We start from the raw sequence: 18,020 nt of genomic DNA, 5'->3' as shown, positions 1-18,020 counted from the left end.
GCAAGACCCTGTCTCAAAAACAAACAAACATAAACAAACCCACTGTGAGGTCTGCTCTCACCATGCGCCCCTGAACTGGCAAAGGCTTCCACATACCTCTGACTGCAGAAAGGCTCCCACAAACATATTCATGGAAATAAATCTAAGTGGAGAACATCCCAAATCCAACAAGTCACAGACGGAATTCACATACCCACGCAAGCCCAGCAGATGGAGAGGCCGATTATTTCTGTTCTTACTGAAGTGCTTTTCTTGTGTATTTGTGGTCATCCCAAGTATCTGGGAATTTTATATTGATCTTAATGTATACCTCAATATTTCTTATTTTAATGCTTTTCTTTCTACTTTCTTGCATTAACAAAAGAGATTTACCTTTTTTTCTTTATCTTTTTCTAATACTTTGGAAGCTATGTTTGATCTCTCTTTTTTCCTACCCTATACTTAACAAAGTTACCATTAAAATCTGAACCTGGGCTGGGCGCTCCCGCCTGTAATCCCAGCACTTTGGGAGGCCGAGGTGGGCGGATCACCTGAGGTCAGGAGTTTGAGACCAGTCTGGGCAACATGGTGAAACCCCATCTCTAATAAAAATACAAAACAAAAAATTAGCTGAGCGTGGTGCAGTCTCACCTCACTGCAACCTCCACCTCCCAGGGTCAAGCGATTCTCCTGCCTCTGCCTCCTGAGGAGCTGGGATCACAGGTGCCCACCACCATGCCAGGCTAATTTTTGTATTTTTAGTAGAGATGGGGTTTCACCATGTTGACCAGGCTGGTCTTGAACTCCTGACCTCAGGTGATCCGCCCACCTTGGCCTCCCAAAGTGCTGGGATTACAGGCGTGACCCACTGCGCCCGGCTGAGCACTGTTTTTATTTTACATACGGTTTAGATTCATCCATCTCCTAATTTCTTTGGCTACCATTCTTTCTTGAAAATTATACCCTACTTTTATAATTTTTGTTCTTACTGAAACACATCCTTAAAAAATATTGAAGTGAAGATCTATGGGCAGTAAAAGCTCTCATTTTTTTGTTTACCAAAACCTTTTTATTTTATTTGTACTCTTGAACAACACAGGGTGCTAGGTTGGTGATTTTCCAGCACATTGAGGATCTTCCACCTTCTCCCGCCACTGCTGCCTGCCGTAAGAAATCTGCTGTCGGCCTCACTGCTGACCATCCAGCGTGGTTCTCCAGCTTTCCTCTCCGGGGATTCGAAGACTTCCTTATCTTTTTTTTTTTTTTTTTTTTTTTGAGACAGAGTCTCACTCTGTCACCCAGGCTGGAGTGCAGTGATGCAGTCTCGGCTCACTGCAACCTCCACCGACCAGGTTCAAATGATTCCCCTGCCTCAGCCACCCCAGTAGCTGGGATTAGACATGTGCCACCAGGCCCAGCTAATTTTTATATTTTTAGTAGAGATGGGGTTTCACCATGTTGGCCAGGCTGGTCTCAAACTCCTGACCTCAGGGGATCCTCCTGCCTCAGCTTCCTGGAATGCTGGGATTAGAGGCGTGAGCCACCGCGCCCGGCTCCTCCTTGTCTCTGATGGTCTGTGATGCCCCAGGGCCTGCCTAGGTGTGGATTTCTGTGCATTCGCTCTGCTTGGTCTACATGTGCTTCCTGTATCTGAAAAATCGTGCCTTCATCAGTTCAGGAGGTCCTCAGGCATCCTCTCTTCCCAGGAGGCTTCTCCTGTTCTCTCCTTTGGGGATGGGGGCCAAAGCCCTATTTTATGAAGGTTCTCATTCTGTCCTTACATCTTTTCACGCCTATTTCACATTTTTCACCTCCTTTACTGTCACTGGATGATTTCTTCACATTGATGTCTGGTGTACCCATTCTCTCATTAACTGTGTCTAATCTGATACAAAATCCATCCATACGGTTTTGCTTTAAAATATCTACAGTTTTCACTGAGAGCAGTTCTACTTGGTTCTGTACCCATTCTCATTAACTGTATCTAATCTGATACAAAACCTGTCTGTAAGTTTTTGCTTTAAAATATCTACAGTTCTCACTGAGAGCAGTTCTACTTGGTTCTCTTTCAAGTCGGGGCACAGTGGGTCATCTTCAGTCCACATCTGCTGTTTACGTTGTCATTCTTGATTATGAATTCATATTTAATTTTCCTTAATCTGTGGGATTCTTCAGGCCTGAATGAGACTTTCTCCAGAGTGTACTTTCGTTTGCCTCTGCTGAAACCCAAGGGTCACTGTTAACCCTAGCTTGTCTCGCGCCCTCGCTCAAGAGTCCTGGTTTAGCTTCAGCGCCCTCTGCTACAGCTGCCCAAGGGTTAGGCTCCTGAAAGGCAGTGCTGACATTCCATTTCTGCACACCCCGGTTTTTGCTAAAGGGATTTGGTGGAAGGGTGGAGCTGAGAGGTTTTTGTTTCCTTACTGTGAGCCCAGAAATGCATTAAAAAGCCAGTTTCAGGCAGGATTTAGCTGTTTTGTAGTATTTTAGCTTCAGAATACTGCTAGAAAGTAGGAGTCTGTAATTTAGTTTTCATCAGTTAATATTTGCCCTTTTTGTATGTATTCATCTTATCCAGTTATACTCATGAATAACTCATTTGTATATTTTATATTATAGGATTTCCAATTCTCCCTTCCCACAGAAAAAAGCAGCAGCCTTTCATTTAAAAAAGGAAACAAACTGGCCGGGCGCGGTGGCTCACGCCTGTAATCCCAGCACTTTCGGAGGCCGAGGTGGGCAGATCACGAGGTCAGGAGATCAAAACCATCCTGGCTAACACAGTGAAACCCCGTCTCTACTAAAAATACAAAAAAAATTAGCCAGGAGTGGTGGCGGGTGCCTGTAGTCCCAGCTACTCGGGAGGCTGAGGCAGGAGAATGGCGTGAACCCAGGAGGCAGAGCTTGCAGTGAGCCGAGATCGCACCACTGCACTCCAGCCTGGGCAACAGAGCGAGACTCAGTCTCAAAAAAAAAAAAAAAGAGAAAAAACAAACCAGGAACTGAAGCTATAACACATTTAAGACAAGCTAGTCTAAGGGCTGGGTTACTAGTCTCTCTGCAGACAGTGGGGTGTCGCAGGCATGAAAAGTTAGCTGACATAAACAGCCTTTTCAGCAGTGCTACCGGCTCCTGAACTGGAAGGAGATCGTGCAGACAAGGTTACAGGCCAGCCATTTCCCATATGAGACAAAGTGTCTATGCGCTCACCATTTCCTACATGAGACAAAGTGTATACGCGCTCACCGTTTTCCATATGAGACAAAGTGTATGTGGGTTCACCATTTCCCACATGAGACAAAGTATCTATGCGCTCACCATTTCCCACATGAGACAAAGCGTATACGCGCTCACCGTTTCCCATATGAGACAAAGTGTATGTGGGTTCACCATTTCCCACGAGACAAAGTGTCTACGCGCTCACTGTTTTCCATATGAGACAAAGTGTATACGCGCTCACCGTTTCCCACGAGACAAAGTGTCTACGCGTTCACTGTTTTCCATATGAGACAAAGTGTCTACGTGCTCACCCTTTCCCACATGAGACAAAGTGTCTATGCGCTCACCGTTTCCCATATGAGACAAAGTGTATGTGGGTTCACCATTTCTCACGTGAGACAAAGTGTCTACGCGCTTACCGTTTCCCACGAGACAAAGTGTCTATGCGCTCACCGTTTCCCATATGAGACGAAGTGTCTATGCGCTCATGCAAAAACATGGAAACAGCATGAGAGTGTGAAATAAAACGTAAGAATCCCCTCCTTTCCCCACTCCCTGGATATCAGCATCACGCAGTTTTCTCGGGCATCCTTCTGAGATTTTTGTTTTCTTTTTTTTTTTTTTTAGACAGAGTCTTGCTCTGTTGCCCAGGCTGGAGTGGTGCAGTGGTGTGATCTCAGCTCACTGCAGCCTCCACCTCCCAGGTTCAAGCAGTTCTCCTGCCTCAGCCTCCCGAGTAGCTGGGATTACAGGTGTGTACCACCATGCTCAGCTAATTTTGTATTTTTAGTAGAGACAGGGTTTCACCATGTTGCTCAGGCTGGCCTTGAACTCCTGACCTCAGGTGATCCACCTGCCTCAGCCTCTCAAAGTGCTGGGATTACAGGCATGAGCCACCATGCCCAGCCCCTTCTGGGATTTTTCCACACATGTACACACCACACACACAGCATCCTTTCTTAAGACACAAAATGAATCATAGCATACTATGGACTTTGTTGTATACTTCCTTTTTCGCTTAAAACTGTACGGGCAAGATGAAGGCTCTCCATGATGGCCGCAGAGGGTCCCTGTATGGGTGCCGCATAATTAGTCTCCAGTGACAGGTGCTTGGGTTGCTTCTAGTTTTGTGCTACTATAAAAATAATACAATAATGAGAATACCTGTGATAAAATGAGAACACCTGTCCAGTTGCATACTTTTGCACATCTCTGTAGGTTGCATGTTATTCTGTGGAATTGCTGAGTTGAAAATTGCAACCACTTAAACTGTTGACGGCCACTGCCAAACCACCCTCCAGAGATGCGCCTGTTCATGTCCCCACGACGCCCGGTGTGAGCGGTTACCTGTCCACAGTGGGTGTTGTTACCAAGCCTCTGAGTCTCTGTCCACATGACAGGTACAGATCGGTTTCTCTATGTATAATACACATACGCACAGAGGCACATACGGACAGACACACAGCTACACATGTGTTTGATACGCAGGGAGGCAGGACACCTTTTCTTTCAGGGATGCATGCTGAAATACGCGTCAGCATGCTCTGGTGTTGGCGCAGTGTGGGCAGGACACACGAGGGGCCATGTAGGGAGCTGTTGGAGCTTGGTAACGGGTAAACAGAACTCAACATTCTCTTTACTTTTGTTTAAACATTCCCATATGCTCTGGTAAACCGTGGGAAGCTGCCATTGCTATGGGTCAGAATGGTGAGAGTGGCACGTCACACAGCTCAAGCTAAGAAAAAGAGGTAGCCAGGTGCCTTCCGACAGCCTGCCAGCCAGATGGCCTCGGCACCTCCTGCATAGCCCTCACTTCCTGCCTGAGAGCCCACGGCTGCCCCGTGCATGGTCGCGCGCCACCCCCACGGGAGCCCCAGGCGGCAGGGACTGGCCCAGCAGACACTCACGGCTCCAGAGTGAGTAGGCGAGGCGGCAGTTGAGGCGGCGGTAGAGCTGCTTGCTGACCGGCCAGAGCGCCAGCGTGCACAGCTGGACGAAGTTGATGACCAGACCACTCACCACGAAGACAAAGCCGACCAGCAGGTGCAGCACGAACTGGGTCTTCAGGAAGGCCAGCAGGCCCATGGCGCTGCTCAGGAGCGGGTGCACGGCCCCTCGCTGAGGACAGCCGTCCTGCAAAGACAGGGACAGGGACAGCGTCAGGGTGGCCACGCCCACACCCTCACAGGAACACCGGGGCACTGCTCACTGCACACCCCGCACATGCCTCACGCTTATACACACATGCTGCACAGCACACTGCAAACCCCACACACGTGCCACACACATACAAACCACACACATGCCACACACACCACACTGCAAACCACACACACGCCACACACCACAAACCACACACACACCACTGCAAACCACACGTCACACACACACCACAAACCACACATGCCACACACATACCACACACACGCCACACACACACAACCACACACACGCCACACACCACAGCTCATCACAAACCCCACACATGCCACACACATGCCACACACACCGCAAACCACACACCACACACACACCACATCACAAACCCCACATGCCACACATCACACACCACACACGCCACACACACTGCAAACCACACACACCACACACGCCACACACATACCGCAAACCAAACACATGCCACACACACACACTGCAAACCACACACATGACACACACACACCACAAACCACACACACCACGCATACCATACCACAAACCACACACATGCCACACACACCACACTGCAAACCACACACATGCTACACACACACCGCAAACCACACACATGCCACACACACCGCAAAACCACATACACGCCACACACACACAAGCCACACACATGCCACACACACACCACCCCACCACCCACACACACACCATACACACCACACACCACACACACACCGCAAACCACACATGCCACACACACCACACATCACAAACCACACACACTACACACACTGCAAACCACACATATGCCACACACACATCACAAACCACACACACTACACACTGCAAACCACACACATGCCACACACACCACACATCACAAACCACACATATGCCACATACACACCACACACCACAAACCATACACATGCTACATATACCACACCACACCACAAACCACATACACGCCACATACACACACTACAAACCACACATATGCCACACACACCACAAACCACACACACGCCACACGCACCACACACACCACAAACCACACCTACACCACACACCAAAAACGACACACACGCTCACACATATGGTGCATACCACACTGCAAGCACCATACCACAAACCACACACACTGTAGCACAAACCACACACACCACAGTGCAAAACACATACACCACATCCCACACGCACTGCTGCACACAGCCCCATACTCTACACCACACACACACAATTGTACCACACACCACACACTGCAACACATCCCCCCACCCCATGCACACTCATATGCACCACAGTCTCACACACACAACAAGCACTATACACATAAACATGCCACACTCACACACACACACTCTCCCATGCAAACCAGAAAGAAAAAACGAAAAGACTAGAAGAAATACACCCAAATATTGATAGTGATTAACTTGTGGTGAAGGCATCATAATTTTTATTTGATTTAGTATCTCATTTAAAAGATCCAAACTGCACAATCAATCTCTGCAAACAGAGCCAGGAGGCCTCACAAACCCCTCAGTGTGGGAATCAATGCTTTTCACTCCCACACTCGTGTGCGTATTTGAAGCGTGAAAGATTTCTGTTCTGGTTTCCTGCACAAAAGGAGCGACTCCCCAGGGGCTCCACCGGCTCCCCCTTTCCTTCTACGCACGTCTCACAGTTTCAGCAGGGAAGCCGGTGGCCCCCCTCCACTCTTGGCAGCACTCCTACTGAGCGGCCCTACAACCCCCGTGTGGAGGGGGAAACCCGAGACCCCAGTGTGGAGGGGAAAACCCGAGACCCCCATGTGCAGGGGGAAACCCGAGACCCCCGTGTGGAGGGGAAACCCCGTGTGGAGGGGGAAACCAGAGACCCCCGTGTGGAGGGGGAAACCCGAGACCCCCCTGTGGAGGGGGAAACCCGAGACCCCCGTGTGGAGGGGGAAACCCGAGATCCCTGTGTGCAGGGGGAAACCCGAGACCCCCGCGTGGAGGGGGAAACCCCGTGTGGAGGGGGAAACCCGAGACCCCCGTGTGGAGGGGGAAACCCGAGACCCCCGTGTGGAGGGGAAACCCGAGACCCCCCGTGTGGAGGGGAAACCCGAGACCCCCCGTGTGGAGGGGAAACCCTGGCAGTCAGGCTGGCGGTGCTGCCAACCCCTGACTTGGTCCTCTGGAAGGGCACTGAGTGCACTCCCATGGGGCAAAGGGGTGGGCTCTGGAGTGGCACCAGCTGGCCTTCCACATTCCCAGGGCGGCCCCTGTTCCACACCGCCAGCTGCCCCCACTGTGGCCATTCTTGCACCCAGAGCAAGGCTCTCCATGGGCGCCCACCCCACCCGCCCATGAAACCCCCTGTCCCGACTCCACAGAGCGCCCTCCATACAGGCCCCCACCCTCTGCCTCTCAGGGATTTGCAGGCGCTGCCTTGAATGGCACTCGGGGGCCACAGATGCCAGTGTCACTCCCACCACCCTTGGACGTTCTCAACCTATGGGGCATTAAAAGTCACCTCTCCCAGACACTGGGCCCTTGGCTCCCCAGAAACCGTGGGGACAAGAGCTCTGGTCATGGTTTAGGAATGGGCCTGAAACACTTTCGCTCCTCCCCTCGAAAGGTGGAGGGGTCTTCTTCCCTTTCTGACTATGGCCTGGACTTGGTCATTGCATCTGATGAACAGCCTTGCAGAAATGTGCTACGTGATTGCCAAGGCTAGGTCACAAAAAGGACAGTTTCTGCCTGGCTCTGCTCCCAGGATGGCCACATCACAAGGATGTGTGAGCGGCAGGTCCTTCCTGCGCGGAAGGGGCTGACCTCCTACTCCTGAGGGGGCCACCTGGGAGGCAGGCCCTCTGGCCCTGGTCAAACCTTCAGATGAGCCCAGCCCTGGCCTCAGCTCACCTGCAACCCCACAGCACCCAGCTAAGTCGCTCCTGAATTGCTGACTCCACACACTGTGGGGTTAAGGAGTTGTACTGTTTGATGCCCCCACACTGTGGGCTGATTCATTAAAGCAGCAACAGGAAATTAATACCCTAGACAGAAAGGACAGAAAAGACAAGGGGGCAACAAAAACACTTTTTATGGGCTTAACTTGTTCCACGGTCTGTGTTGAACACCTCTCACGCATTCCAGACTCTCAGATGACCCCAGCAGGATGCCATCACTGCCCCAGTTGACAGGTGAGCAAACAGAAGCACAGAGAGGCTTCGTGCATCATATGGGGCCACACAGGGAGTCAGCAGTAGAGCCAGTGCCAGTCCAGATAGCGAGGCTCAGAAGTCAGTGCTCGCCCAGACACACTGCAGCCCCCCCAGGGTGGGCAGGGGCCCCTTAGAGCAGAGCCTCAGACACGCTGGGCAGACCAGGCTTGCTGTTTCAGAACGCCTTTCTTGAGCTAGAGACGATATATTCGACCAGATCCTGAGTTGTACAGGGTGGGGGCCGCCCTGCAGCCCATCACCTGGCCCCCACCTGGCACACAGCAGAGCCCCAGGAGACCAGGTGGTCCTCACCCAGGGGCACACATCACTCCACACTGGCCCAGAAGAACCAGGGTCCCAAGAAGCCTGCTTGAGGGCCAGCACATCAGCTGTGATGCTCCGAGAAGCAGATGCCCGGGCTCCACAGCAGACCTGCTGATTCCGTTGCTACGGCGCAAAGTACAGGAATCTGATTTTTTTTTTTTTTTTTGAGACAGATTATCTCACTGTTGCCCAGGTTAGAGTGCTGTGGTGCCATCTTGGCTCACTGCAGCTTCCTGGGTTCAAGCAATTCTCATGCCTCAGCCTCCCGAGTAGCTGGGACCACAGGTATGCACCACCATGTCCAGCAAATTTTTGTATGTTTAGTAGAGATGGGGTTTCGCCATGTTGGCCAGGCTGGCCTCGATCTCCTGACCTCAGGTAATCCGCCCAACTCGACCTCCCAAAGCGCTGGGATTACAGGTGTGAGCCACCGCACCCAGTCATGACGTTTATTTTTAAAAATCAGATTCTCAGCCGGGCGCGGTGGCTCACACCTGTAATCTGAGCACTTTGGGAGGCCGAGGCAGGAAAATAGCTTGAACCTGGGAGGAGGAGGCTGCAGTGAGCTGAGATCGCACCACTGCACTCCAGCCTGGGTGACAAGAGTGAAACTCCATCTCAAAAAAGAAAAGAACTTCATCCAGGAATAAATAACACACGATTAAGATGGGTTTGCCGAGTGTCCGTGCATAGCGTTATGGGTGTTGACAAGCTAAGCCGCCTGTGACCCCACCACACTGCAACAGGGAACATTTCCATCCAAGTCCTTCCCCACCCAGCCTGACAATGCAGGTCAGCTTTCCAGCTCTATAGGTTAATTTACCTTTTCTAGAGGTTCACAAACACAGAATCCCATGGCATCTGGCCCAGCCGGTCCAGCGCGGTGCTTCTGAGACGGCCCCGGGACAGCACCCAGGGCGCATCCGTGGCTGCTGAGTGACCCCCACGGCATGGACGTGCCACGGTGATACGCTCCCTGCCGACAGGCAGCTGGCACCCAGCCTTTGGGGGCCACAGATAGAGCCGTGATGCACATTCACGTCCCAGCCTCTGTGTGGATGCAGCTTCCCCTCGAGAATCCACTTTATCAACCGTCCTCGGTGTCACAAAGCGGCCAGTCTCTGGTCCATCACCTGAACCTCTGGGCTAGAAAGTCTACGCAGAGACTCCCCGGAGAGCCCACGCCTGCCCTCTGGCACATGTTTCTCCTGGCCCGGGTGCCACACAGCACTCAGTGCCCCCGGAACTCTGGCGTCTTGGGTCCAGCTCTCCTCAAAGGAAGTCTCTGCGGCAGTAAGCCCCAAAAAGGGTGAATGGAGCCGGCCAGTGCCAGATCAGAGGGGCTGGCTTCAGCCCTGGAGCCCAATTCTAGGAGCAAGTCCACCACCCTGCCGTGTGGCCCAAGGTCACACCCGGGACGGTGTCCCCCAGCTGTCTGCACGGCCCACAGCCTTTTGACGTGCTCCCTCGCTGAAGGCCACCTGCCCGGATCATCAACCTCTACGTCCTGGAGGTCCTAGATACGGAGTCAAAACACATCTTCATCACTTACTATGGACCAGACTCCATTCCAAGAAACATCTGCTGTTCACCTGCTTAATTCCAGCTAGCGGAACTCAGGGGCCTCTCCCGCCCGCCTGCCCCCACCAGAGCGCTCAACACGGTTTCCCTGGGTCATTGCCATGTCTCTGTCCAGCCAGCAGTGTAGTTTCACTCACAGACCTCGCAGGTACCCTGTTCCACCTCCCCACACCCAGCCCGCCTGGACCTCCTTGATAAACCTGACTGCACAAACCTCCAATGGCAGCAGGCAGAGGCCACCTCCCTCCCTGCAGAAGGGTGACGGTGAGGAAGGTGCCCTGCTTGGCCACACCGGTCCCCGCCTCCAGCTTCAAAGTCCTTTGGGCTGGCAGAGCAGGAAAGCATTGGGAGGGGCCTGGACTCAGTGGCCCCCTAGAGCATTTGCTCGTGAGCCCATGAGAGCGATTTTTAGGAAATTATGCATCCCCAGACAATGTGAAGTTGACGTCTACATTTTTATTTTTTATTTTTCATCTATTTATTTATAGAGACAGAATATCACTCTGTCACCCAGGCTGGAGGGCAGCGATGCCATCATGGCTCACACAGCCTTGATCTCCTAGGCTCAAGTGATTCTCTGGCTTCAGCCTCCCAGAGTGCTGGGATTACAGGCATGAGCCACTGCAACCAGCCAGCTTCTACATTTTTAAGCCCAAGTTTAAATATGCAAGGGGTGTAAAGTCTGGCATATTGTAGATTTTGACTCTGTAAAGCATAGTGTTTTTCTTTCTCTCCAATGTAGCTAGTAGAACCTAAATGCCATCATGATTTGACAGCCACCATTGGCACCTGTTTTCAAACCCCACAAAAAAAGCTCTTCTGGACAGCTGGCTTCGTTCCACTTGCTCCTGGAATCTGCATTCCCACTGCCCTTCTTCCACAGGATTTTATCATTGTGGAATATATTAAAAGTCTCTTTTGCTTAACATTAGGCTTGAAAGTCTTTTATTGATCACCCTAAACTAATATTCTGCAATGAAATATGTATGAACATCTAAAACTCACTTGCCTATTTCTTATGCACAGGCTTTAAGCTAAAAAGGTCTCCTGGGCTACGTCACGGCACTCCCTCCATGTCCGTCCACATCTCCTACGAATCAGGACAGCCTGCTCACTAGGACACCATGAGCACACCCAAGAAATGAATACCGACAGAATACTGCCGAACATCCCGTCCCTGTTTCCATTTCACCAACTGTCCCCAGATGACCTTCCTAGCTGCGGGGATGCAGGGCCCCGTGGAGGACACACATGCATTTGGATGGCACGTCTCTCTGTCCCCTTTCCCCGAGACGCTCCCCGCCTACTCTGGCCTGATGGTGTTGAAGCGGCTAAGGCAGCTCTCTGCGGCGTGCCCCACACCCTGGATTTGTCCGTTTCCTCACAATTAACTCGGGTTCAACATTTCTGGTCAAGAATGCATGGCAGAGCCGCTGGGTACTTCCTGCCACATCCCACTGGAGGCCCATAAAGCCACTTGGCCGGCGATGTGGAACCTCGCCTCACTTGGTTATGGTGGCACCACTGACACCCTGACCGCAGCAGATAGCCTGGGCAGCCCCCAGCACCCTGGGGACCTTGGAGAACGCCTGGGATAGAAGAGCCACACAGGGTGGGACCTCAGGGGTGGGACCTCTGGGGCTCCATCTGATTTCTGGGGCTGGGGCTGGGAGGTGTGACAGTGGGCCTCTCCAGTCCCCATGGCACCTTTTCATGGCTGCTCAGATGCCACCGAGACACTGAGGACACTGAGTTGCTTCTGAGCCCCTTCATTAAACAACAGGTTTAGGTCGCCCAGAAGCTTGGTGCCAGCGCGTCTTCATTAAACAACAGATTTAGGTTGCCCGGAAGCCTGGCGCCAGCACATCTTGGTCCTGGGGCGTGATGGCTGCTTCTTGGGTTTTGTCCTGGCCCCTGCACAAGCTACCGGGGTGTGCACCTTCTTAGATCAGGGGAGCAAAGGTGAGGCACGAGGCTGCCTCTGCCTGGGCAGGGCCAGAGCACTGCTTGCCAATCAGAGCCCAGCCCCACACGCCCACACCCAATTCTGCCACCTTTTGTTAGGGTGAACTGAGTTCCTTCCACAAAGGTAATGCCCAGGTCCTCGAAATGTGACCTTATTTGGAGACAGGGCCTTTAACACAGTAATTAAGTTAAATGATATCATCAGGGTGGGCGCTGATTCCATCTGACCGGTGTCCTTATGAAAAAGGGAGACCGCCTGCAGTCAGAGCCCGGGTGAGAAGCCTCAGAAGGAATCCTTGACCTTGGACCTGCAGCCTCCAGGACCACAGGACGACAAAAGCCTGCAGCTGCAGCCCCGCCTCTGGTGCCGTCACACAGCCCAATCGCACTCACAGGCCGCCTCATCCCAGGTCCGTAGTTCTGGAGAGGTACGGGCCCATCCCCGTGTTCCGCCATCCAGCCCACCCCCTGCCTGCCCCAGGTCCTTCGCTGCAGCATGTGGACCCTCCTCCCCGTCGCTGGTCCCTGTGACCCTCTTCCTCCAAAACCGGCCAGGCAGAGGATCTCACCCACATGCAGTCTCCCCAGAGACCCCCCTTCTTTGCCAAAATCCCCAACCTTTCCGAAGACGCCTTTTTATGGAATGGAAACTACAGTTCCGAGCCCACCACCTCCGCACCGCTGCCAGGCCCACCAGGCCCCTCCATTTCTTCCTTCTGAACAGAGGAGTCCCTGGTTTTCTCTGCACACATAGGACGGCAACTTCGTTTCTATGAGGGGTAAACACCAGTTTGTCTATCCATGAGCCTTTCATGCCTCTGTCACCAGCGCTGAAATCCCCCAGAGGAGATGGCACAGCCTCTGAAATATAGCACTATCTTCCCAAAACGCCACAGAGTGCCCACCCCAGCTGGCGTCCTGCTCTGTGCAGGGGCAGGAGCTGGGCAGAGCTGGGATGGGACCTGCTGTCCTTGGGTCCTGGGGTCCAGGAAGAAGATGTCACCACTGGCAACTATTCTGGGATCAGCAGATGCTCCCAAACCCTGGAATTCTCCCTTTGCCCTGCCCAAGCCGCCCTTCCGAGAGCAAGGCTAGCTCTCAGCAGACAGCAGTTGGCGGAGGAGAAAGACATTTCAGGATGCCAAAAGCACATCATTTCTGATGCTCTAGACAGGAGTTTTGAGTTGTGGGATAAAGATAACTTCTTAGTTCCATATGGATTTCAGTGATCCAAATCCAAGTCCATAATGGGGAACTGAGAAACGGCTGTCAGCTCCCTCCTTCCCCCCTTCCTCTTCTCTGTCCCGCCCACCCCGCACCCAAGGGCTCTGGTGTAGTGGGCCGAGCAGACCTGGCCCCTGCGAGGTGGTGGCACGGGAGGGCCTTGTGTGCTGGCTGCACAGGAGGGGACCACGGTGAGCCCCGGGCTCTTGGGTGCTGGGGAAAGCTCCACTGTTACTGTCAGCAGACGCTGGAGGAGAAAGTCCACCATCAGGAACAGTAGAGACGCAGTGATATCTCAAAGGGTCTTCATTTAGGTGGCAACGTTTACTATTCAGAACACCGCCAAGAACCCGGAAATAAACTGCACACACTTTCTGAGAAGCCAGCCTAGGTGTCCCATAAGGAAAAAGACTTCACTCACAGTGGACCTTTCGGGCCCTGCATTGGGTCCTCCTTCCTCCCGCTTTAAACGCAGCGTGGACAAGTGTGACGGGCTGGTTTCCTGGCCCACAGCTCATTGGAAGTGCGGGCTGGGGAACAGGGAAGAGGGGCTTGCAGAAGGCAGGCATGCCGCTGACAGCACTACCTGGGGCAGAAACGAGCCCAGGACTTGAGGCCCCTTGGAGGCCACTGAGCAGCGGGGGCGCGGTTGCAGGCTCTCTGACATCACGCATGAGGGCACAATGCGGTGACTGTGGCCCACGCTGATCTCGTCCGAATGCTGAGAGAGGGCGGCGTCACAGTTACCACATTATCTGAGAAGTCTGGTAAGCAGCGAAGATACTACTAAGCATTCAACTAAAATTTTAGATGAAACAAACACAATCCTATTTTGAGGTTTAAAGGGCAAATTTCAGTTCTTGGGTAAATTCACTTACAGAGACCACCTTACCTCTTCATAAGCCTGAAAAATATGAAATTGTTGCCAGCCCAACCTTATCAGCATTTGGAATTAGCAGGAGACTAAAAGTCTGGCAGGAGGAGGTGAAACTGTCAGTCTGTGCAGACGATTGTGTAGCCTCAATACCCAGGAGAATCCAAATCTACTACAACAGGAACTAGAGTTGATAGTGATGCTAACAGGAATAATGTACAACATGCAGACTGCAGTGGCCTCCGAATCAGTCAGAAGAGACCAAGACAATCACAGAGTTTATCTCTTGCTCTCTTAATGGCTCTAGGTCACTGGCAGCTCTGTCCCACATGGTCATCTGGGCCCAGGCTCTGGGGGCTCCACCACCTTCAACACGAGGCTTCCAAGACTGCCTGGCTGGTGCCTTTCAGGCAGGTGGGAGAGGGGGAAACTGGAAGTTTAGGGGAAGGGCTGTCCTCTACGGCAAGTAGGATGCAAGTTTGCAGCCCAGCGCAAGTGCTTACAGCTTGGGAGGATATGGATATATGATCCCCTTGTGTGTTCAGGAGCCAAGGAGAGGGGCCCAGCAGACCACCCCTCCACAGGAACACACAAAAGCAGAAGGTGTCTTGAAGGAGAGCGCAGATTGCAATAAGAAAGAGAAAATACCTAAACAAAAGCTTCAGAGGAAATAAAGCCTCTATGAGGAAACCACAGAACATCTTGAAAGATACAAAAGCAGAGCTGAACAAATGGAAAAACCCCGTGTGACCAGGCTGCAACCACCCCTTCCCTGAACACATGCCCTTAGTAACGTGCAGCTCCTCCTGCCAAGACATGGAGTCTACTCCCCACCCTTTTGAACCCAGGTTGACTTCAGGGCTCACCCTATCAATAGAATGTGGTGGGATTGGTGTCACAGGACTTCCAAGACAGTCTTTAGAGCGTTGCCACTCCCTTACACCCTTGTGGCCATCAGAGGTGGTGGCTTGGGCTAGTCTGACAGAAGGTGGTCCCACATGGAGCAGAAATGGACCAGAAATGGGCCATTCCACCTGAGGTTCTCCAGGCAGCTCTAGCTGACGACAGCCACTCCAATGACCCCAGGGGAAACCAGCAGAAGAACCATGTTGCTGAGCCCAACCCAAATTGCTGACCCACAGAATTGAGGGCCCCCCGACATGATGGTTGTTTTAAATTGATACATTTTGAGGTGGTTTGTTAGATAGTAATATGTAAATGATACATAAACCTAAATATATAACTGAATCCTAATTAAAATAGCAAAAGCTCCCCCCCAGCCCCAGAACTAGACATACTGATTCTATAGTTCATATGGAAAACTAAACAGGGAAGAAAAGCCAGGAAAATCATGAAAAAGAACAAGAAAATAGCCCTAAAATACACTACAACATCTAGAAAGCCTCAATAATTAAAACAGCACAGTACCGGCTTATCAGTAGACATGCAGACCAACAATTGAGACTAAAGAGTCAATGCTTCACTGACTAGGAGCAGCTGTCTGGGGCACCTCAGCACCTGGAGCAGGGTGTGGATCTGCAGCCACTGTTTGGGGACTTGGATCCCATGTGCATGAAGCACTGACTACACGTTCGTCAACAACACACATCTCACATGATCCATTCCATTTCTATTGTATTTATATTTCTATTGTATTTAGATACTGATAAAATAAATAAAATACAAAATTAAAACCGCTGCTAGGTTCATGAGAATCTTTTAGCATTGCCTGTTTTCTCAACCAATGGATTTAAAGGCATAATTATATGACATACCTAAAACCACTCCTCCAATTCCGGATAACAGAACCCCGCCTTTTGCAACATGCAAGTCACTGTGAGTTACCTACCTGCCACTACCCCCTTTGCTGGTAACAGAACCTCCTGCTATTATGGCAGCGCTCACCCTTGGATATGGGAGGGAAGCCCAGCCCCAGATCTAAGCCATAAAGGTAATCCCATCCCCTCTTTGAGCAAGTGATCCAGGGATGGGATGGGCATGTGCCCTGGGTCCAGCCAGGGAGAAGTCTGCGGGGGCTTTAAGGGAGGCTTTTGCTTTCCTAAGACAAGAAACAAATACCTCTGGTCATCACCTTTGTCGTTCTTCCCTCCCTCGGTGAGGAGGCAGTGTCTGAAGGTGCAGGAGCCACTGTGGGAGCGTGAAACCATAGGCGTGAGGACAGAAGACCAACACCGTTGGTAGAAGGTGGAAGGTCCCAGATCCCCTTAGGGTCTGGGGAGCAGCTGAGGTCACACCAGCAGCTGCCCTCTTCAAGAGGCGGGGAAGACAAGAGGTAACGGTGTTTAAATCACTATCTCTGTTACCTTTGGCCAAAAACACAGCTTACATCATCAACAGCTATTACTCTTACTCACGTGGGCCTGGCATAGAATACAGATGCTTGATCAATGTTTTCTAAGCGAATGGCTCGTATTCAATATACATTTGTGAGAAACAGCCAGCATAGGCTGGGCACGGTGGCTCATGCCTGTAATCCCAGCACTTTGGGAGGCCAAGGTGGGCAGATCACTTGAGGTCAGGAGCTTGAGACCATCATGGTGATGGTCTCACCAACATGGTGAAACCCCGTCTCTACTAAAAATACAAAAAATTAGCCGGGTGTGGTGGCAGGCGCCTATAATCCCAGCCACTCAGGAGGCTGAGGCAGGAGAATCACTTGAACCCGGGAGGCAGTTTTTTTTGAAACTCTGTCTCAAAAAAAAAAAAAAGAAAAGAAAAGAAACAGCAGCATGGCTTCTTAGTCCACACTGGTTACATGCCACCTCCGTTTACAGTTCCTGAAAGAACAACGTCACTCCTGAAAGAGTCCATGGAGCACTTCAGCAAACAATCTCATCTCAGAATCAAGGCCCCGACAGACACTGGACGGGCCCGAGATGGAAGTGACTTTGGACTCAGTGAAGAGGAGACTGCGACGTTTCCAGGCCTCGCTGGAGATGCCGGGGGCGTCACTCCAGCAGGTAGAGGCCAAACAGAAGCTCCGCTTGGGCAGCCCTGGTCGGCCTCTCTTATGAGACCCACACGGCTGCACGCTCTCCTGACTGCAGCTTTGGGCTGGATCAGTAGCCCCAGGGCCCCCAGGCCACTTCTGAAGAGGGCGAGAAGCTCCCCGCCAGGTACTGTCTCACCGGGAATCGGAACTAAAGACCAGGGTCCTAGAGTTATTTCCCCAAGTTGTGTCTGCCACTGCATCACTGCCAGTGTAAACTGCAAACCCTGGCAGGAAGAGGGCAGGGAGGAGGTGGAGCTGGGCAGGACGAGGGGAGGATGAGGGTGCTGGTGGCCCAGGATGGGAAGGCTGCTGGCCAAGGACCTCCAGCCCCCCACCCTCCCGTCACCTACCCCAGCTCTCTGAGCTCCAGAATTTGTCTCCTCTGGGGTGCTGTGATGGTCTCACTGGCCGGAGAGTGGTGATGTTGGGTGGGAGGTGGAGGGATGTGGAAAGCTCCCAGGGCCTGA

General features: G+C 52.1%; 1 protein-coding gene across 28 annotated transcripts in view, besides 1 other annotated feature; it reads right to left on the bottom strand.

Annotated features, from left to right (window-relative positions):
• Positions 1–18,020, bottom strand: part of AGPAT3 (1-acylglycerol-3-phosphate O-acyltransferase 3) — a 122,370-nt gene that overhangs the window by 22,631 nt on the left and 81,719 nt on the right. For 15 of the 28 annotated variants that reach the window (XM_047440922.1, XM_047440916.1, XM_047440921.1 and 12 more), the window contains one exon: positions 5,103–5,328. In XM_047440922.1, the coding sequence (XP_047296878.1) occupies positions 5,103–5,328 (226 nt within the window). Of the gene's footprint in view, positions 1–4,182; positions 4,331–5,102; positions 5,329–8,270; positions 8,405–9,719; positions 10,413–16,619; positions 16,809–17,903; positions 17,980–18,020 lie in introns of those variants that run through there. The other 13 variants (NM_001369881.1, XM_006724031.4, XM_017028408.2 and 10 more) reach the window with 10 other exon arrangements.
• Positions 8,300–8,800: an enhancer, noted in NCBI's record as "H3K4me1 hESC enhancer chr21:45376043-45376543 (GRCh37/hg19 assembly coordinates)". NCBI's record gives its function as "activates a minimal SCP1, AML or CMV promoter by ChIP-STARR-seq in naive H9 embryonic stem cells {active_cell/tissue: H9 hESC(naive)}" and the evidence as "EXISTENCE:reporter gene assay evidence [ECO:0000049][PMID:30033119]".

Source organism: Homo sapiens, chromosome 21 (genome assembly GCF_000001405.40).
Source record: "Homo sapiens chromosome 21, GRCh38.p14 Primary Assembly".
Taxonomy (NCBI): domain Eukaryota; kingdom Metazoa; phylum Chordata; class Mammalia; order Primates; family Hominidae; genus Homo; species Homo sapiens.
This window is presented reverse-complemented; position numbering and strand designations above follow the sequence as displayed.